We start from the raw sequence: 21,666 nt of genomic DNA on the forward strand, positions 1-21,666 counted from the left end.
GAACTGTCAAACACTTATAAAACCATCAGATCTCGTGAGAACTCACTCACTACCATGAGAACAGCATGGGGGAATCTGCCTCCATGATCCAATCACCTCCCACCAGGTCCCTCCCTCAACACGTGGAGATGATGAGGATTACAATCTGAGATGAGATTTGGGTGAGAACACAGAGCCAAACCATATCAGGCCACAACAGAAATGGTAGGGGAAGGCCCAAGAGAAAGAAGAAAAGCCACTTCTGTGGTATAAAGGAAAAGAAATTCACATTCAGCAGAGGTAACCAGTAAGCAAATGACTGAAAGGTATCCTTTGAAATTTAGAGGCTGATGGGAACCTTACTGAGGGCAGCTTGATAGAGTGTGTGGAGTGTTGGAGCTTATGAAATTTGAAGTAGAAAATTCAGATGATGATGCAATCCAGTGGAAAGAGGGGTATGCCTAAGGATTAAAATACTGAAATGGAAAGAAAGTAAAGATCAATAGAGCTGAGATCAAAGAACATAAAACTAGATGAGTTGTTAAAGTATCCCAGGATGGTTGTTTGTGTGAGAAGGAGTGGATCAATGAGGTGCAGATGTCTGCGGTGGATTGTGTAAGTAACTGCCCACCCGCACCCGCCCCCAGCCCCAAAAACACAGCAAGGAAACAGCGATGGAGAATAGTGTGGTCACATTGCAATGAAGAACCTAGTTAATCCTAAGCAACCTCACCCTCCACCACTACCAGCAGGCCTGAAATGTTGTGGGTGTGGGCGAATAAGCCCTCCCCACAGAAGAGAGCTGAAAGAGAAATGATATTAGCTGAAAGAGAAATGATATTATATAGGAAGGGTGAAAAGAATGTTCTATGGAGATACTGAAGAAACACAGGCGCTCCTTAAAATAGAACATGATTCCAAAAGACCTGGTCAAAGGTGTGTGGGTCATTCAAGTGGGAGAGTCAGAGATAAAACGCTGAGCTGAAGAGTAGAGGGTATGTCTAGAAGAGACAATGGATGATGGAGATGGGACATGGAGGAGCTTGACAAGAAGCAGGGATGGAACTTATTGGCTGCAAATATACCAATGCAGGCACAGGTTGTGTGGGTGTCAGAATGGACCTGGTATCCCATGTGGTATTGGACCTGGATGGGGTATGGAGGGAGGGGCTGTACCTCCTAGTTTCCTGGCTGAATTTCATTGCTTCCTCATATAAAATGGTGAGAAGTAGAAGAGAGAGTTAGTGATAGTTTATCCTCAGGATGGTTAATCCAGGAATGGTATGAATAGAGACTAACAGTCCTAAGCCTTTGCACATTCTTTCTGTGCCCTTAGGGTTACTTTTTCCCTCTTCAATCACTATTGTGGCATGTTTTTATAAAACTGATTTTGTCTACCACATTGGCTTCTTTGAAACCTATGGAAGGTATATCAGGTATCCCATCTGGATGCCCAGAAGACAATTAACAGTAATTGGCGAGAGTAGAGAAAGAGAGGCGGTGGTCAGTGGATAGCTGAGAAGACATGGGAGATATCATCAATAGAGGCGGCACATGCTTTGTTCCTTCATTCCAAAATTTATTTCAGTATGACAAAGATCAATAAAGAGTTCTCACCACTCTCAAGGTTCCCTGTGCTCTTTCTCATTAAGCCTATTTCTTCCAGAATCCTCAGCAGTCTCCACCACTGTCTTTCTTCCTGAACACACACCTCCATATTAATTGGGTATTAGTTTGATGCTGCAGGGACTATATAAAACTGTCCTTAATGTAAAGAGGGAAGGACAGCTGAAAGGCAGTAGGTAAACAGAGCCCTGGAGTCAGAGTAAGAAGGCTGAGGGTGATCTCTAGCCATTCTATTTACTAATTCTGTGGTTTTGGATAAGGTACATAACCTCTTTACCTCAGTTTCCTCATCTATCCAAAGGAGATAATAATTTCTATTCAGAGATAGGCCAAGGTGGCCAATTAGAAGCAGCTGCGGTCCACAACACTCACAGAGGAATAAAAGGGGTGAGTGAATACAGCACCTTCAACCAAAATAATCAGGTACTAGCACTGGAACTGATCAGGGAAACAACTTGAACCCATGGAGAAGGAAGAAAAGCAGGGTGGGCTGACGGCCCATCCAGGAACAGCATGGAGCCAAGCAACCCCCACCTCCAGCCAAGGGAAGCGGTGAGTGAATGTGTGACCCTGGGAAACCATGCTTCTCCCACGGGTATTTTCAACCCTTAGATCAGGAGATCCCCTTGTGAGCCCATGCCACCACAGCTTTGGGTCTGACACACAGAGCTATGTGGAGGGTAGGCGGAGCAGCTGCTCAGGCATGCACACAGACCCAGGAGCTTACAGATTCCAGCTGTAACCCAGGAGCTTACAGACTCCAGCTGGGATCTCTGACAAAGGGAACTGCAACTCAGGCAAGGCAGGAGGTCCGTACATACCCCTAGCAAGGGGGCTGAATCCAGGGGACTGAGCAGCATCAGTTTGCAAATCCCACTTCCACAGCACCTCACAAGAAAATACCCACTGGCTTGGAATTCCAGCCAGCCACCAGCAACAGGGTGGAGCCACCCTGAAACAGGACGGAGCCCCCAAGGGGGAGGGGCAAGCCACCAACTCTATCATTTGGTTGACTCAGACATTCCAGCCTGCAGACTTTAGAGAATTCAAACGGTCCGGACAAGGAAGAACCCCCCACCCCTCCCCAACATCCCTCATCCCCAACCCCACCCCCCATCCTCCCTCCGCCCCCTTCCCTCTACCTCCCACCCCCCACCCCACTCCCTGCACAGCACAGTTGCTTTGCCAGAAGTGGCCAGACTGCTTCTTTAAACAGGACCCCAATCCACTCCTCCTGATGGGGCAGGTCTTCCCAGCCGGGACCTCCGGCTACCCCTGCCCCTATTCTATGGACAGAGTTTTGATTTCTCCCTCTGACATAGTGCCCATAGAGAGGTGCAGACCGCCATCTTTGCAGTTTGGGCAAATCAGCCACTCCAGCCTGCAGGCTTTGGAGAGTCCAAGCCGAGTGGGGCAGAGGTGGTTCCCCAGCACAGCTCGGCTGTTTTGTCCCCAGCACAGCATGGCCAGATTGCTCCTTTAAACAGGACCCAGATCCATTCCTCCTGGCTGGGTGGATCCTCCCAGCTGAGGCCACCGACCACGCCCTCCCATGTTCTACGGCCGACAGAGTTCTAATTTCTCCCTGGCACGGAGTGCCAGTGTGGGGTTGTGGGGGAGCAGGCCACCATCTTCACCGTTTGGGCATCTCGGCCGGTCCAGCCTGTAGGTCTTGGAGATGCCAAACTGGGGACTGAAGAGATCCCCAACACAGCACACTTGCTCTACCAAAAAGCAGCCAGATTGCTTCCCTAAGTGGGTCCCTGATCCCATTCCTCCTGACAAGGCGAGACCTACCAACCAGGGTCTCCAGCCCCATCCTACTGACACATTCAGGCAGGCAACAGGTCATTACCATCCCGGGATAGAGCTTTCAGAGGAAGGGGCAAGCTGTCATCTTTGCTGTTTCACAGCCTTCACTGGTGATACCTCCGGGTATGAGAAAAACCAAGGTGACTAGGGGTCTGAAGCGCACCCTCAGCAAACTGCAGCAGCCCTATGCAAGAGTGGCCAGACAGTTAAAAGAAAAACAAACCAAAAGCAACAACAATAAAAACCACACACACAAAAAACCCATCCAAAGGTCAGCAACCTCAAAGATTAAAGGTAGATAAGCCCACAAAGGTGAGAAAGAATCAGTGCAAAAACGCTGAAAACTCAAAAAGCCAGGGTGCCACCTTTCCTTCAAATGACCGCAACACCTCTCCAGCAAGGGTTCAGAGCTGGGCAGAGGCTGAGATAGCTGAAATGACAGAAGTAGGCTTCAGAATGTGGAGAAAAGCGAACTTCACTGAGCCAAAGGATGATGTTGTAGCCCAATGCAAAGAAGCTAAGAATCATAATAAAACAATGCATGTTCTCACTTGTAAGTGGGAGCCGAATAATGAAAATACATGGACACATTGAGGGGAACAACACACACTGGGGCCTGTCAGAGGGTGGGGGTTGGGAGGAGGGAGAGGATCAGAAAGAATAGCTAATGGATGCTGGGCTCAATACCTGGGTGATGGGATGATCTGTGCAGCAAACCACCATGGCACACATTTGCCTATGTAACAAAGCTACACATACTGCACATGTGTCCCTGAATCTAAAATAAAAGTTGGAAATAAAAATAATAATTATTGTTATTCAAAAGGATTTTATCAGAACTAAATGAGGTGTATTGAAGTGCTTTAGAAATTATAAAACCTCATACTATATTGAAGATATTATCGAATATGGTGAGCAAGAAAGGTTTGAGTAGAACAGTTTGGGTATTCTTGGAAGACAATGCACTCTCTGCTACGTGGTACAGCAGATACTTTCCCCATGATTGTAACTATGTATGCAGATGTAGAAAGACATAAAATCACAACTCCATGCAAACTGTCCCAGAATGTTTTCTCAGGTAAACTAGGTCAACAGTCTGTTCATTAGTATTTTGTAAGCTAAAATTGCAAGTCACAAATGCTTATTCTTTATTCCTTCTTTATTTCCCATAAAGCATTTAAATCAGGCAAGAATCTAATAAACAATTGTACTTATTGAATCATTGAATAGGTAGAAAAACCTTATATAGAGATAGGAATATCTTATATATCTTTAGCTTTAAAGAACTTTAGAACTCAAAGAACAAAGAAGACAATGACAATATATATATATGTATGAGTGAGAGTTGCCCTTTCTTCATTTATGACTATCCTAAAACCCCTTTAAGCATTGTATAAAGTCCTTTCCAACTCTAAAAAGTATTTATACATGAATAATTTCTCAATTGCAGCAAGTTTTTCACACTTGTAACTAAGAATCAACTCCATTATTATTTTATAATGTGAACAAAATTGCAAAGGAATGCTGATTCCAGTCCAAAAAAGCCATTTTATGTGGATTCTTATGGCACTCCTCACCCATACTTGTGAGTCACAGGTGCAAAAACACAAACACAAAAATGGTCACAAAATGTAAATATATTTAAAAACACCTTCTGTGTTTGTCCTTTTCCATTGCCATAAAGAAATACCTAAGACTGGGTAATTTATAAAGAAAAGACTCATTTGACTCCATGTCCTGCATTCTGGGCACACTGGTATGGGGTTTGGGCTCCCAAGGCCTCAGGTAGCTCTACCCCTTTGGCTTTACAGGGTGCAGCCCCCCGTGGCTACTCTCACAGGTTGGAATTGAGTGCCTGCATCTTTTCCAAGTTCAGGGTGCAAGCTGCCAGTGGCTCTACCATTCTTGGTTGTAGAGGGTGGTGGCCCCCTTCCCACAGCTCTACTAGGCAGTATCCCAGTGGGAAGTCTGTGTGGGGCCTCCAACCCCAAATTTCCCCTCCACACTGCCCTAGTAGAGGTGCTCTGTGAGGGCTCCACTCCTGCAACAGGCTTCTATCTGGGCATCCAGGCTTTCTCATGGATCCTCTGAAATCTAGGTGGAGGCAGCCAAGCCGCCTTCACTCTTGCACTCTGAATGTCTGCAGGCTCAACAGGATGTAGAAGCTGCCAAGGTTTATGGCTTGTGCCCTCCAGAGTGGTAGCCCAAACTACACCTGGGTCCTTTTGACCCAGGGCTGGGGCTGGAGCTGGAGCTGCTGAGGTGAAGGGAGCAGTGTCCCAAGGCTGTGCAAGACAGCAGGACCCTGGGTCTGGCCACTGAAACCATTCTTTAAACCTAGGCCTCTGGGCCTGTGATGGGAGGGGCTTCCTCAAAGACCTCTGAAAGGCCTGCAAGGCCTTTTTTCCATTGTCTTGACTATTAGCACTTGGCTCCCATTTAGTCATTAAATCTCTCTAGCAACTAGTTGCTCCACAGCCTGCTTTGATTCCTCTCCTGAAAATATTTCAGGGGACTGGCATCTGTTTCTGGTGAGGGCCTCAGGAATCTTCCACTCATGGCAGAAGGCAAAAGGGGGAGCCAGTGTGTCACATGGCAAGAGAGGGAGCAAAAGAGAGAGGAAGCAAGAGAGAGAGAGGAGATACCAGGTTCTTTTAAACAACTAGACTTCATATGAACTAACTACCTTAGGGAGAGCACACCAAGCCATTCATGAGGGATCCGTCCCCATGACCCAAACACCTCCCACTAGGCCCACCTCAAAATTAGAGGTCACATTTCAACGTAAGATTTGGAAAGGACAAAACATCCAAACTATATCATCTTCTATATGAGAAGTCATTAACATGAAATTGTGAGGCATGAAGTAAAAATGACTTGCATAGATAATACATAAACAGGTATCACTTTTGAAGCAATGTACCTACAATTTGCATTTATTTGAATAAGAGAAATCATTGCTGACATACACTGAATATTTGTTTTGTAGTAGGTATAGTCATAACCATTATACCTTTATGAATTTATGTAATCCTCACAACAACTCTATGTATCGAGATGATCTCCACTTTACAGAGGCACAGTAAGATGATTTTGCCTGTTTCCCACTTAGAAAGTGAAGCCGGGATTTATAGCTGGGAACTCTGGCTTGAGAGCCCCCATGTCCTTAACCACTAACCATACTACCTCCAGAGACCCTCTCTAAATGGGAAGAGTAGGATTTATCAAAGCTGTGGCACTCAAGGTACTCTAAGAAAGGAGTGGATGGGGTCTCTGAAGACAGTGTGTCTCATTCTAAGACATTTGTTAAATAATCCCTTCTTTATTTCCCATAAGCTTAAATATGACCATGGAGAATTTCCGCATTTGATTAGTTAAAACCTGAGAGAAAGAAGGGAAAGTAAGAGATAATTTTCACTCCACAGGTAGTTAAATTCTGGAATGAATTTAAACTCAGATATCAAGACCCTTTATTGTATATAGGCAAAAAGAGATAGAGAAGAAATAATGTAATTGTTTTTATAAGTAATTTGGTTGTTTTAAAAAACCTAAAGTGGTCTTTCAGGCAGAACAGAAGTAATCAAGTCCTGTACTGATGCAGAATCCTGTGTTAATTCTGTTCCGGTTACAATAAGTAAATGGCTAAAAAGGCGAAGAATACATTATTAAAATAAAGACCTGCCTACTACAAAGGAGCAAATTAACAAAGAAAGGGAGGGAGGGAAGGAGGAAAAAGGAAGAAAGGAGGGAAGAAAAGAAGGAGAGAAGGGAGAGAGGGAGGGAGGAAGGAAAAGAAAATCGCAATAGTATGACATTGGGCAAAGGAGACATTATTCAGGGAAAAGAAAGAATAATTGAAAGAGGTATGCTTTTTGAAGAGTTATTAAGGTAAAAAGTTATTAACTGAACAGACATTATGTGAGATAGGTATTTATTTGAATGAGTAATGACTAAGACTTTCAAAGTTGATGAAAAATAGAAATCCTTAGGTTCAGAAAGCACAATAATTCTTAGCTGAGACAAATTGAAGAAATATCTATGCAGACATTTCATAGGAGAACTGCAGAACACCAAAGAAGACTCTGAATACTTAAATGTTCAGAGAGAAAAAAAACAAGTTACTTACAAAAAAAAACAACAGATAGTTTGACAACTGACTTCTCAACAGTAATTTTAAGAATCCAAAACACAATAGAATAATATCCTCAAAGTTCTGAAAGAAAATAATTGCTAATCTAAAACATATAACCAGCTAGATCATCTTTTAAGAATGGGAACAAAACAAAGACATCCTCAGATAACCCAGAAAGTTTTCAGCTTACTCTTACTAAAAACTTCCAAAAGGTATACTTTTAAAAAGAGAATATGAGGTGCCAGAAGGGATGATATGAGCAATATTTGAATTTTTAAATTTACTTGTGCATCTTTTCCAACATGTGTATGCATATATGAATTAATATAGTATTTGCTATCATTGTTTCATAGTTGGCAGTGTACTGTGCATACTTATCTTCACCTTGTTCATTTACTGTTGCTTAACATTATAGTCTGGGAATATTTTCATAACAGTATAAAAAGCTAATTCACAAGCACTTTTCAAATCTAATTGTGTTACGTTTGCTCTTGTCCCACTGGGCATAGCTGTTATGTGCCCAAGGTCAGAGTCCATGAAGGAGGAGACTATCCCAGTGTGTGGATAAAGGAAGGCATGAACTATTTAAAAGTCATTGCTGTAACATTCCATTACCTCGTGCAACTCAGATCCCAAGATCCCATGATCTTTGCTTAGATACCTGGGGTTCTGCAGGATTTGGACCAAGAATCTTGGCACACAGCTGCCTCTATTGTTTTTTTCTTCGTTCTGTAAGCATAGAAGCAGCCTAGCCATATTGAAAACATTTCATTCTCTTAACACATAAGGCCCTCACATGGTCATGTTAGAGCCACTGAGGAGATGGACTGTGTCTTACGCTCTTTGAAGCCCTTGAAGAACTGCAGACTGGGTCAGACCTATTGGTAGCAATTTATAATTTTTGGTGAGGATGGCAGAAGGATAAATCACTTAACAATGATGCTAATTAAATAAAAGTGCTTCACCCTTTAAGGATATGAAATCCTTAAAGTGGTGGATAGATAAGCTAGAACTAGATTCCCTTCCCTTCCTAATTTCATGTTAGCATGGGCAAGAAGAGACAGTTTGCTACAGATTTCCAAGGCAGAAGTGAATTTGCAGCCATCTTTTTATGCTCAAAAGGTTGTGTCAGGGAACAAGGTGCTGTGGCAGCTCAGGCACATTGTCTCACCTAGTTGGTGGGGGCAGCAGCTGGGCCACCAGCATCCAGCTCCTACTGGATCCTTCTTCAGCTTCTGCAACCTCTGAGCCAGGTGTATGGTTAGCTCCCTGGCAAAGGGCACTGATACCTCCTTTGGGACACCCTCATCACCAAGGTTGCAGGTTTGGAAGAGGTGAGAGACCAGTGCATGCTCAACTCCTTCCCTGTGGGCTACAGGTTTCAATTCGCATCCATCTTCCCTTTCCAATTACCTGCCCTGTAGATTTCAGGCTCCAGCACCAGATACAGAAACAATACAGACTCACATAGACTGCCTAACCAGCTCCCAAAATTATATAAGGTCAACGTATTTGCTATCTATGGTTGCACAACAAATTACTTCAAAACAACATAAACATTTATTATTTCACACAGTTTCTGTAGGTCAGCAATTTGACAGTGGATTAACTAAATGATTCTAACTCATGGCCTTTCATGAGGTTGCAATCAAAATGCTAGCAGGGGCCAGGAGCGGTGGCTCAAGCCTGTAATCCCAGCACTTTGGGAGGCCGAGGCAGGTGGATCACCTGAGGTCAGGAGTTTGAGACCAGCCTGACCAACATGGCAAAACCCCATCTCTACTAAAAATACAAAAATTAGCCAGGCATGATGGCACGTGCCTGTAATCCCAGCTACTCAGGAGGCTGAAGCAGGAGAATCTCTTCAACCCAGGAGGCAGAGGTTGCAGTGAGCCAAGATCGCACCAATGCACTCCAGCCTGGGCGACAGAGCAAGACTCCATCTCAAGAAAAAAAAAAAAAAAAGATGCTAACAGGGGGTCTGCAAACTTTCTATATAAAGGTCAGATAGCAAATATTTCAGGCTTTGTGGGCCATACAGTCTCTGTTGCAATCATTCAACTCCCTTTATAGTTTGAGAGCAGCCACAGGCAATATGTAAAGAAATGGTCTTGTCCATGCTCCAACAAGCTTTCTTTACAAAAACAGTAGACTGACTGGCCAAGAGAGGGTCATAGTTTGCTGATTCCTGATCTAAAAGTTTAATAGCGGCTGGAGTTAATGTTACTAAAATTTAGTGCAGGCAATTGGCAGAGGTCTACAGTTACTCATCTCTCTTGCTTGAGTGTCCCCACAGCATTGTGGCTGGCTCCTCCTGGAGTGAGTATATTATCCCTTTGATTACTTCTATTGGTCACACAGACCAAGAGCGCTACATTGTGGTAGGGGTTCACACAGGGTGTAGATACACGGAGGTAGGGATCATTGGGTGAGCTGTCTTGAAGACTGGCTTCCATATTTAATTCCCTAAAATAAATGATATTCCTACTGGTTTTACGTCTCTGATCATATCCTGACTGGTACTGGAGCTATAATAGTAGACATTTTAACATGCCAAAAAAACAGTGAATTTGGAAAAATGTTTTATTATATTCCAAGCAAATTCTAAATTAATCTAAATAATATTCATACTAGACATACCTTGTCAAAAGTTAAAATTTCAAGAATATTTATACATTTCTGAAAATATCCAAATAGGGAGGAGGAAAAACAACTTTCTTAAAAAGGGGTAAAATCTCTTTTTTTTTTTAGAGACAGGGTCTTGCCCTGTCACCCAGGCTGGAGTGCAGTGGTGCAATCACAGCTCACTCCAGCCTTGACTTCCTGTGTTCAAGCAATCCTCCCACCTCAGCTTCCTGAGTAACTTGGACTACACGCGTGCATCATCACACCCGGCTAATTTTTTTCATTTTTTTTTTTTGTAGAGACAGGGTCTTGCTATGTTGCCCAGGCTGGCCTCGAACTCCTGAGCTCAAGCAATCCTCCTGCCTCAGCCTCCCAATGTGCTCCAATTATAGGCAGGAGCCACCACACTTGGCCTGCTTCCTCAGACTTCTTTACAACACTGAGTTCCTAAAGATAATGAAAAATATGTAAAGACTTTCAGAGGGGAAGCATAATCAAGAATTTCATTCCCAGCCAAAGTGGTGTTCACGTGTGAAGGCAAAGACTGAGAAAGGAAACTACTCATGGATACGTGGCTGACTGAAGGAATTCAAAATAAAGAACTAAAAAGTAGGAAAGCCAAAATAAATTAAGTATAGAAGCTTACATATAAATAACTCCTGTAAATATAATCACAAAACTCAATGTAAAAACAAAACCATTGAACATAAGGGAACACAGGGTAAAGAAAATGAATAATTACGTGTAAGTAACATGGGTACGCTCCTCTGTTTAACCACAGGAAGCCTGGGAAGTCAGGGAAGAAAGTAATAGAAGTCAAGGCAGAAATCTGCCTCCTGCACAAGGCAGCATAAAAATTATATGTAAGCTAAGGCCTGAAAGAACAGTCGGAGTTGGCCAGGAGAATGGGGGATATTCTGGTGACAACAGCAGAAGCCCACTCTGGCTGAGAAAAATAGAAATCAGTTTATGGGAAAAATGTCAGAAGTTCACGGATGCAGTTAAAGGGCAGGAAGGTTAGATTCAGAACGAGACAGACACAGTGACACAGGAGATGTAATAAGCTTGTCAGGCACTGCCTCCGAGATAATGAGCCCTAACCATGTTTCTGCCTGTGTGTTATTCCTTCTGAGACCCAAAGTCCCTGAAGAGAGAGCCAGATTGAACAAGCTCAGGCCTGTTGCTGGCCAGAGGAAGGCAAGACTGTCCCTGATGGCCCCACAGAGACAGCTCACAGTCCATAGGAGCCACAGGAAGGAAACTGAAATGCTGTTACCCATAGGAGAAGAACGGCTGCTAGGCAACTCCAAAATAGTGAATGCTCACTCCAGGGGGACTGAGGCTGGGGAGGGCAGCAGAAACCTATCACAAAGAGCCTTTAAGTCATGCTAAGAAATGTGGACATTTTTCCAAATGAAAATGGGGCATAAATGAAAGGTTTGGAGCAGGAAAGTAATAGATTTGATTTCCATTTTAGAAAGATGGCTCTGGCAGCAATGTGAAGAGGAAACAGGAGGGGGACTAACTGGAGACTGTTGCAGTAATCCAGGTAGAACAGGATGTGGCCCAACTTATTAACTATGGACTGCAGAAAAACACGTGCAGTCTGTCTAGAGAGAATAAAGCAACATAGAACCAACAGATTTTGGTAACTGAGTTACCAATCTTATTATGATTAGATTATTCATCATCATCATCATCATAAGCAATAATAACGTAATAACAGTAAACAACAAATAAGAAACAATTTGATAATGGAAAACTGTGTTCCCCCTTCTCCAAATAATTGATGTGCTATGTGCGATCCATTAATGAGAACTATGTAACCCATCATTTGGCTCACAACCAAATTTGCATCTGATTCACATCAGCAGTGTGGACTCTTGTCTTCTGTGATCTTTTTTTCCTTGATCCTGACTTTTTCCATCTGTATTTATTTTACTGTTACGCTGTGTACGTATCCTTTTTTGGTAAAGTGTCCTAAAAAAACTCAGAACTACAAAATAAACAAACAAAAACTCATCATGCCCATATCCTCAATCAAAACCATTTCCCTGTCTTCATAATTTGCTAATGGCTCCACCATTTCCCTTGTACCTGGAGCTTGGAAACCTCAAGTATCAGAACCACTCCCTCTTGCCTGTCCTCCGTTGCCCACATTCAGATCTTCTGTACATGAAAAAGTTTTTGAATCAGTGCCCTACTTTTCATCTTTCCTTGCTTTGAGTGAAATCTCCCTTTTCCTCTTGCTTAAACCTTCCACCAGCTTCCTAACAGTCTCTCCTTGCCCTCTGACTACGCACCACTGCCAAGTTAAATTCCAATTATATTACTTTTCTGCTTTAAAACTCCGATGATTCACCAATGCTAATAAATTAGGCATTGGCCAGTGGCATATGCCTGTAATCCCAGCACTTTGGGAGGCCAAGGTGGGTGGATCACCTGAGGTCAGGAGTTTGAGACCAGCCTGGCCAACATGGCAAAACCCCGTCTCTACTAAAAATACAAAACTTAGCCAGGCGTGGTGGCACACTCCTGTAATCCCAGCTACTCGGGAGGCCGAGGCAGGAGAATCGCTTGAACCCAGGAGGCAGAGGTTGCAGTGAGCCGAGATCGTGCCACTGCACTGCAGCTGGGGTGAAAAGAGTGAAACTCCATCTCAACATAAATAAATAAATAAATAAATAAGGCATAAACCCTCCCTTCTGTATTAAAGATTTTCTCTCAGAAGATTATAATATGAAAAAGCTAGGAACACTTTTAGAATCCCCTAAATTGAGTACACATATCAGGTCTACTTTTCTTCACTTCATACCTTTTTCCAGGTTCCAGGTACATCCCTGGGTGTCTTAGTCCATTTTCTGCTGCTGTAACAGGATATCACAGACTGGGGAAGTTATGAACAAAAGAAGTTTGTTTGGCTCACAGTTCTGGGGGCTGAAAAGTCCACAATCCAGGAGCCACATCTGGCAAGGGCCTTCTTGCTGCATCATAACATGGAAACTAGGTGGAAGGGCAAGAGAGTGCATGCGACAGAGAAAGCAAGAGAGTGAATGTGGCTTTATGACTAACCTACTGCTGTGACAATGGCATTAATCCACCCAACAGGGTGGAGCCCCCATGACCTAATCACTTTTTAAAGGCCCCACCCCCTCGACACTGCTGCAGTGGGGATGAAGTTTCCAGCACGTACCTTTGGAGGACTTATTCAACCATGACCCTTGCTTCTCATTCATGGAGGAAGAGGAGTGAAGAATCCAAGTGGCAGACTTGGGAGCTCTAGCCCATCCTTTTCCCGTCCTCTTATTTTTGGGGGTCGGCCTGCCTGCTTAGCACTGTGAGCCTCTCTTAGCCTTGGTGTAGGCTTAGTGAAAAAGCTCTGCTTCTGGTAGGAAAGAGGGCCAGGGGAATGCTGGGCTTATACCTGATGGGAAAACCTATCTAGTTCTGGGGTTTAGTGTCAGGAATTCCATTGTTGCCACATACCTGAGTGAATTTAGGAACCAAAACTAGAACACATAGAGATTAAGGCTTCTGGAGGCTAGAGGAATTGATTGGTGTGATATAACCTTTGGGGAAACTATACCAAGCTTGAGCCGTGCAGGAATCTTAAACATTGAGTTTTCTGCAGCCAATATTGCACCTTATGCCTGATTTTTATGAAGACGGCTTTTAGCTGCTTCAGCCTGGACAAGTGAGTTTAAGTCTCAAGCTTCTGAAAGATTCTGACCTAGTGGTTGAATACACAACCAAGAGGCTCTTTCTATATTGCCTGGGCTGCAGGCACTGATCACTTCAGTGATTTCGGTGGCATTAGCAAAACTAGCCACAAAGGCTTTAGCAAGCAAACTTGGGTTTAAATTGAAAAATAACTTAGTCTGTGGGCAGCTGCAGATGGCCTTGAATAACACAAGTACAAATAGGCCTGTGATTGCGGCCAGGACTGATAGAGGGAATAAATAAATCCGGAAAGAGTCTTTAGAGTCCCACTGAGGTTTTGCCTTGAAAGAGGCAGAGTTTCAGCATTACTGTTTGGCTTTTACCAGGATTTTCATCCAGGTCTATAAAGAAGTTAGGTTCCACATGGGTCACAGAGCAATAGCCTGTGAGATTCTAGCTTTAACTTATTAGTGTTAGGTTCAAATAGGTAGTACACGATCTCACTTTGAGTAGACCCAAATTCTATTCCACATTTAGAGCCAAGGAGGAAACTTTAGAGGAATTCATCTTCAATTCATGTGACTGATAAACTGTTGAGTCACCACCAATCATGTAAACTCAAGTTGGCCCTGAATTTGTTAATTTCATGAATTCAAACCAAGGCTTTGGATTTCAGACTAAAATTATGCATTCAACCTAAAAGGGAAGTACATTTTATTAATAAAACAATAAGAATAAATGGGCACCCTCATTGAAAAAATGCTGTCTTCTTAGATAACGCTAGAGAAATAACTGAAAGAAACTATCACTGTCCCAATAAAAAGACAGATAATTTTTCAAATACGGTCTCTGAGGAACATGATTGCTTAAAATGTCACAGAAAAACTGGAGTTGTATGAAAAACATGTTGGTCTTAATATCCGAACATAAGCAGAGGAAAATTGAAAATAAAGAGACAGATTAAGCTAGAGGAAAATTTCCTTAGGAGTAAGGTTGAAATATTAGAGAACATATTAAAGAGAAATTAAACTAAAATGAGATCTCAAAAGCCAACATGTATAAAAGGGAAAGGAAGGCGGCCGGGCACAGTGGCTCACACCTGTAATCCTAGCACTTTGAGAGGCCGAGGCGGGTGGATTGCCTGAGCTCAGGGGTTCGAGACCAGCCTGGGCAACACGGTGAAACCCCATCTCTATTAAAATACAAAATTAGCCGGACATGGTGGCAGGTGCCTGTAATCCCAGCTACTCGGGAGGCTGAGGCAGAGAATTGCTCCGCCTCCCGGGAGGTGGAGGTTGCAGTGAGCTGAGATTGCACCATTGCACTCCAGCCTGGGTGACAGAGCAAGACTCCGTCTCAAAAAAATAAAAATAAATAAATAAAAGGGAAAGGAAAATGCAATAAGGTCTAACTTGTATAAGGGAGGGTGTTAGATGCAGGGAAAGTGTGTAGTTATTACTAGAACAGAAACAGTGATTCCAAAAGTTTCAGAGTTTCTTTTTTAAAAGGAGAATAAAAACAAGAGTACACTAAAATGACATTCAAGAGGGCTAAGATCCAGGAAACTATTAAATGGTAGATTCTTAAAATTATTACTGGAAAGTCTATAGTAAAAGCAACTGATTTTCTTGCCTTCCTTCCTGCACCCTGGTAATCCATTCATTTCTGAGAAGCACACCTGATTATGTCAGTCCCTTGCCATAAACTACATATGCACACACACACACACACACAAACACACACATGAACACACACACAGCCCATGCACCTTTGCACCTTAGCATGGAAGACAGTCTTTCTGTGACCTGGATTCTATGTACCTCCCTGAATTGTTTCCTGATAAACTCCACCTCTGCATCCTAGATTTCAGTTGTACCAAACTATTTGCAAGTCTTGAGTATTTATAAACTTTATGACATATTCATTCTGCCTACCATGTCCTTTTATCCTAGTCCACACGGATTTTACAAGACTCAGCTTACATATCCCTTCTCCTAGGAGCCTTTCTACATTAGAATTACCAGTGAATACAGAGCACTTACAATGTTTTATTTTTCTTATATATTTATTGACTCTTTTTCAACTCTAAGCCAGTGGTTCTCAAAAGAGGTGATATAGCTCCAAGGAGACATTTTAAAAATGTAAGGGGCATTTTTAGTTGTAATGAGTTTAGGGGTTGGGAGAACACAACAGATATTCAATGGACAAGCCAGGAAGCTAGACACCTTGCAATATCCATACAGTTCACTACAAAAAAGAACTATATGCATCATGTTCAACTTTGGAAGTTCCACAGGCCTTTCTGTAGGTGAAAAACTTGTTTATAATTATCTGAGTTAAGACTCAAGCTCTGGGCCAGGTGCAGTGGCTCACACCTGTAATCCCAGCACTTTGGGAGGCTGAGGTGGGCAGATCACCTGAGGTCAGGAGTTCAAGACCAGCCTGGCCAACATGATGAGACCCCATCTCTACTAAAAATACAAAAAAAATTAGCCAGGCGTGGTGGCGCATGCCTGTAATCCCAGTTACTCAGGAGGCTGAGGCAGGAGAATTTCTTAAACCCAGGAGGCAGAGGTTGCAGTGAGCCGAGATCACACCACCGCACTCCAGCCTGGGCAAAAAGAACGAAAACTCTGCCTCAAAAAAAAAAAAAAGATTCATACTCTGTTTTATATAAAATCAAAAGTATTTTTGCATGGTGTTACATATTGAATTTCACAGGAATATAACTACCATAAACTGAGGAAAGAATGTACTTGGTTTATGTTCAGAACTTTATCAAGAGTTGTTTCCCATTTCAGAAATCACATCACTATGGGCACCACTGAGGGTGGTATTTGAGTCACCAACACAACACTCCTGTATCCATCTGCATTTGTCGATGAGGCATTCATGGTGACTGTAAGTAGATGTACAAATTTCCTCATTTAGCTCTTATGGTCAAAATGTCAAATATAAATTTTAAATGTGGGCAAATATTCAGTCAAATATATTAAATTGGGTTTTACAGCTTTTATGCACAAATGAACAGTCACCAATATGTCTATTCTGCCAACACATTTTTTTCTAATTAAGCCAACGAACTCATCTAGAGTAAGCGAACATTTTACAAAGGAACATGTTGATCACATTGGCAAAGATATGTATATATATATATATATATACTTCTGATATTTAAGGAAAACTGAAAATTGCTATACTGTCACTGGAATGTTCAAGAATGTTCTCTGCAAAAGGAGGTGAGTCTCATTGGTTCTTACAGAACAACATAAAAGATCATGCAATATGGTACATCATACGGTATTCTAAGAAAATTAGTTTTATAAGCTATATAAGAGATTAGTACAAAGAGGATAAAAATAAATCCAAACCAAATAATTTCTCTATCCCATTTAATACTGCTTTAAGAAGACGGTAAAAGATATTGAAATCAATTGCATAGTGCAAATAACTTTGATTATGAGTGGGCAAAAGTAACCTGAATAATCATAAGACTTTAATATTTGCATCTATAAAGTGTTCAAGGACAGAAAAATTATGTAGAAAAGATTATTTTCAAAATTGCTAACAATGAATACAAAAAATTTGTCAATATTTGAAACCCTAAAATTAATTAAAGAGAAAAAAATTTCCTTTTCCAACATCATTGCTTATTTAACAGATGGAGCACCAATAATGTAAGTTTAGAGCCAACTTTAAAAAGAGGTACCGGGTGTTTTAACAAGTCATTTTATTATTCATCAACAACCTAATTACCAAGTCTCAGAGAACAAGATAATCATCAATGAATGTTTAAAAATAATCCCTTCACTGACAGATTATTCATAATCTTTCAAATGTCATTTAAGTGTTTGAATGTCATGTCCAAATAAGATGGTTCACCAAGCAAATATTTTTAAAAGGTTTGGCTCACATTATGGACCTTTATGGATCTTTGACATGATCAATAAAAATATATATATAATTGGAAATACTGCAAATTGATGAGATATAGCCTTCAAGCATATTTGAAAAGGTCTTCCTTATTCAAATTATAATTTTTAATTTATATTTTGTATATTAATATATTTATTTTTAAATATACAGAAAAGTTGAAAGACTAGGACATGCTTGTCCAACTCACAGCCCATGGGTCACATGTGGACCAGGACAGCTTTGAATGAAGCCCAACCCAAATTCATAAACTTTCTTAAAGTATTATGAGTTTTTTTGTGATTCTCTTTTTAACTCATCTGCTATAGTTAGTGTTAGTGTATTTTACATGTGGCCCGAGACAGTTCTTCTTCCAGTGTGGCCCAGGGAAGCCAAAAGATTGGACACTCTTGGATTAGAGCAAGGAACACCCATATGCCTGCCACCTACATTCAGCAATTGCAAGTATTTTGCTGTAATTGCTTCCTATATGTTTGTATATTTGACTAAAACATTTCAAAGTAAAATACAGTGACCATGCTATTTCACCTCTGAGTTCTTAATCATGAATCTCCTAAATATAAGGATATTCTCTTGCATAACCACAATGTTATTGCTATACCTTTAAAAATTTAGGAGTGGGCTGCAGCCTGGGCGACAAGGCTTCCCCCAGCTGACCTCTGTGCCCTAGAAACCGTAGGGACCCAATGGGTCAGCTCACTTGGGTGGGTGCGGTGGCACCAACCATGGGTGCTTTAGAAGAAGGCTTCATTGTGCCCTTCTCCTCTGACTCTGATGCACATTTTGATGCTGCGGTTGGATATTTAGAGGACATTATCATGGATGAAGATTTCCAGTTATTACAGAGAAATTTCATCAACAACTACTACCAGGAGTTTGAGGACACCAAAGAGAATAAACTCACCTACACACCTATTTTTAATGAATATATTTCTTTGGCAGGAAAGTATATAGAAGAACAGTATATAGAAGAAAGTATATAGAAGAACACACCTATTTTTAATGAATATATTTCTTTGGCAGGAAAGTATATAGAAGAACAGTTGCTGGAGCAAATTCTTGGCTTTACCATGGCAACTTTCACAACGTTACAGCACCACAAAGATGAAGTGGTTGGTGACATACTCCAAATGCTGCTCAAATTTACAGATTTTCTGGCTTTTAAAGAAATGTTTCTGGACTGCAGAGCAGAAAAAGAAGGCCAGAGACTGGACTTAAGCCGTGGTTTAGTGGAGACTTCATTGTGCAAATCATCTTCTATGACAGCTTCTCAGAACAATCTGCAGCAGTAGGACCTACCTCCAGACAATGAATGGTATCATTCTCAATTTCACGGGCTCAGTAGTTCAATAGGCTCGGCTCATGATGACAGGAGAACGTATCCTGGAAAAACTGATTCTGTTCTGCAACTCTTCATTCGCATTAAATATTGATGGGGTAAAAGCCAAAATGATCTAATCCTCCTGGACCTATTTATCCTGAAACATCTTGTTGGGTTTTTGTTTTTGTTTTTGTTTTGAGACAGGGTCTCGCTCTGTCGCCCAGGCTGTACTGCAGTGGCCCAATCTCGGCTCACTGCAGCTTCCACCTGCCTGGTTCAAATGATTCTCCTGTCTCAGCCTCCCAAGTAGCTAGAATTACAGGCACCCACCACCACGCCCAGCTAATTTTTTTGTATTTTTAGTAGAGACGGGGCTTCACCATGTTGGCCAGGCTGGTTTTGAACTCGTGACCTCAAGTGATCCGCCTGCCTCAGCCTCCCAAAGTGCTAGGATTACAGGTGTGAGCCAACACACCCACCCCTCCCCCGGCCGAATCACCTTCTTGTATTCATTAACCCTAATACTCCTCCCCTCCCCAAGTAGGTACCTCTCTCAGGTGCTTCTGACTCAGGCAGCTTGTGAGCAAGCCCATGTCAAGCATTCCACTCTGTGGGGGGCCTTTCCTCACCCCAGCATTCACGTTTGCGTATCAAAACCCACCATCATGAACCCTCTTTATCCCAGCAGGGTTTGCATAAATTTTTTGTGCACTTGCATCTCATTTTTGACATGGGTTAGAGTTTCAGTTCTTCAGCCCCAGTGAGGTTTTTTATATTTATCTGGGGTGTTACTCCAGCCAGCTGTCCATCTTGAGATTTTTGAATCTCCTGTGATCACAGCTTGTCCTGGCTGGAGGAATCAACTGAAAGAGATGTCCCTTATCTAAAAGCTATGTGTGAAAATTCCTGGTCTTAACATTTGAAATCCTTGTGTGACTATGTCTTCTGCTGGCCCTGATGTAGTCCCACTATTTTCAGAAGTCTCTTTGAAGTGTTATTTTTGGAAAATATTTGTATAGATGAATTCTCAGGCTAACCTAGTTGTCTGAGTAGCCTTGCAGTAAGGGAAATCAAAACTTAAGCAGGGAAGGGGGTGGGTATGACCTTATAAGGGGATAATGCAACTTAGGCAATATCCAGAAAGATTGTAACCCCATAGTACTCGACCAATGAGGAACTTGGGGAGGGACTTGCATGCTAGGAGATAAATTACCTGCTATGACTGCCCTGGGTGTGCCTGCCTATCAGACACCCGATCTTGCAAGACCGCCATTAAAAGTATCATTTCCACTGGATATGATTTTGGAACTTCCATGATTACCCACTTAAAGATCAAAGTATTATATACCATGTGCTTTTTAGTGAATGTTGCGAAGGCAAAAATGCTTTCTACGTTGGCATTCATTCTTATTTTACTGGGCACCTATAAATGCATGCTGTGTGCCTGAAATACACTAAAAGGTATCCGTTCTTACAGCATGTTTGTGTGTTTGCATGTTTGCTGAAAATCCTTTCTGTATAAACAAGTTTGCTGGGTTCTCAGGGTTAGGTAGGGACTCTGCCATTTCTTACTGTCAAAATCTCTCCTGTGGAGATGGTGTTCCACTGCCAGTCTAGCTCAGCATGAGTAGGAAATAGTAAACACCCTTACCAGTCATCTGTCTGCTTTGGTTTAGTGTAATGTGTGGTAGAATATTACTTATCAGAAAGCATGTATGTCATCTCTGGAAAGAAGAAAAATCACAGCAGTTCAAGTCTCAATGTGTACCTTTGATTTTTTAAAATTAGAAATAAGAATCTGTACTGACTTTTCACTTGGCTATCTTACTTTTAAAGGACAAGCTACAAGTGATGTGTTTTTCTATACTGATGCATCACTTATTAAATGCTTTTGTACCATGAGTAAAAAAAAATTCAGAATCATTATTTAATGTCATCTAATACTCAGTTCATTTTCAAATGTCTCCAACTATCCCCAAAATACCTTTTGACAATAGCAAAAATCAATTGCATTTGTGCATCATGACTCTATTTTAAGCTAGAAAATTTCTTGGCCCTATTTTTTAATATAATTTTTATAAAATTGACCTTTTTTTACTAAGCCAGTTGTCCTTTCGAATTTCCGCATTCTGAATTTTTCTGACTGACTCTTCATGGTGCCATTTAACTTATTCCTCCCTCTCATCCCTATAAATACGAAATGAGCTCTATAGACTTCATTAGATTCACATCAAACATTTTTGGCAAGAATCATATGTAATGCTTATACTTCATATTTCCTCACATCAGGAGGTAGCAGATATCAGGTTTCCTCCTATAACTAATGCTAAGGAGGGCACAGTCCTATCTCTCCACTGCAAAGGTAGAGCTACAGCGCAAATGAGGTCCTTCTTACATTTTAAGGAAAGAAGCTCAATCTCATCATAGTATAGGGAATTATCATGACTTAATCAATAAACATAATATTTTTTAAATAAGCTGGACAGATTAGTCTTTACAGGCTACTAACAGAATACCACAGACTGGGTGACTCATAAAAACAACAAATATTTATTTCTCACCATTCTAGAGAGTGGGA

The 21,666-nt window shown here is 41.7% G+C and overlaps 1 long non-coding RNA gene and 1 pseudogene across 4 annotated transcripts in view, besides 1 other annotated feature; one reads left to right on the plus strand and one right to left on the minus strand.

Moving 5' to 3' along the window:
* LOC102723490 (uncharacterized) overlaps positions 1 to 13,231 on the minus strand; it is a 113,878-nt gene extending 100,647 nt beyond the window's left edge. For all 4 annotated transcript variants that reach the window (XR_001749825.2, XR_007063757.1, XR_001749824.2 and 1 more), the window contains exon 1: positions 12,990 to 13,231. This is a non-coding gene — a long non-coding RNA (uncharacterized LOC102723490). The remainder of the gene's footprint in view (positions 1 to 12,989) is intronic.
* Positions 13,064 to 14,263: an enhancer, noted in NCBI's record as "MED14-independent group 3 enhancer chr13:37363192-37364391 (GRCh37/hg19 assembly coordinates)". NCBI's record gives its function as "activates an origin of replication core promoter dependent on BRD2, BRD4, P300/CBP and CDK7 cofactors, and independent of MED14, by STARR-seq in HCT116 cells {active_cell/tissue: HCT116}" and the evidence as "EXISTENCE:reporter gene assay evidence [ECO:0000049][PMID:35650434]".
* On the plus strand, positions 18,796 to 19,257 carry ARL2BPP3 (ARF like GTPase 2 binding protein pseudogene 3; annotated as a pseudogene).
* The last annotated feature ends 2,409 nt before the right edge of the window (positions 19,258 to 21,666 follow it).

The sequence above is a fragment of the Homo sapiens genome, chromosome 13 (genome assembly GCF_000001405.40).
Source record: "Homo sapiens chromosome 13, GRCh38.p14 Primary Assembly".
Lineage (NCBI taxonomy): Eukaryota > Metazoa > Chordata > Mammalia > Primates > Hominidae > Homo > Homo sapiens.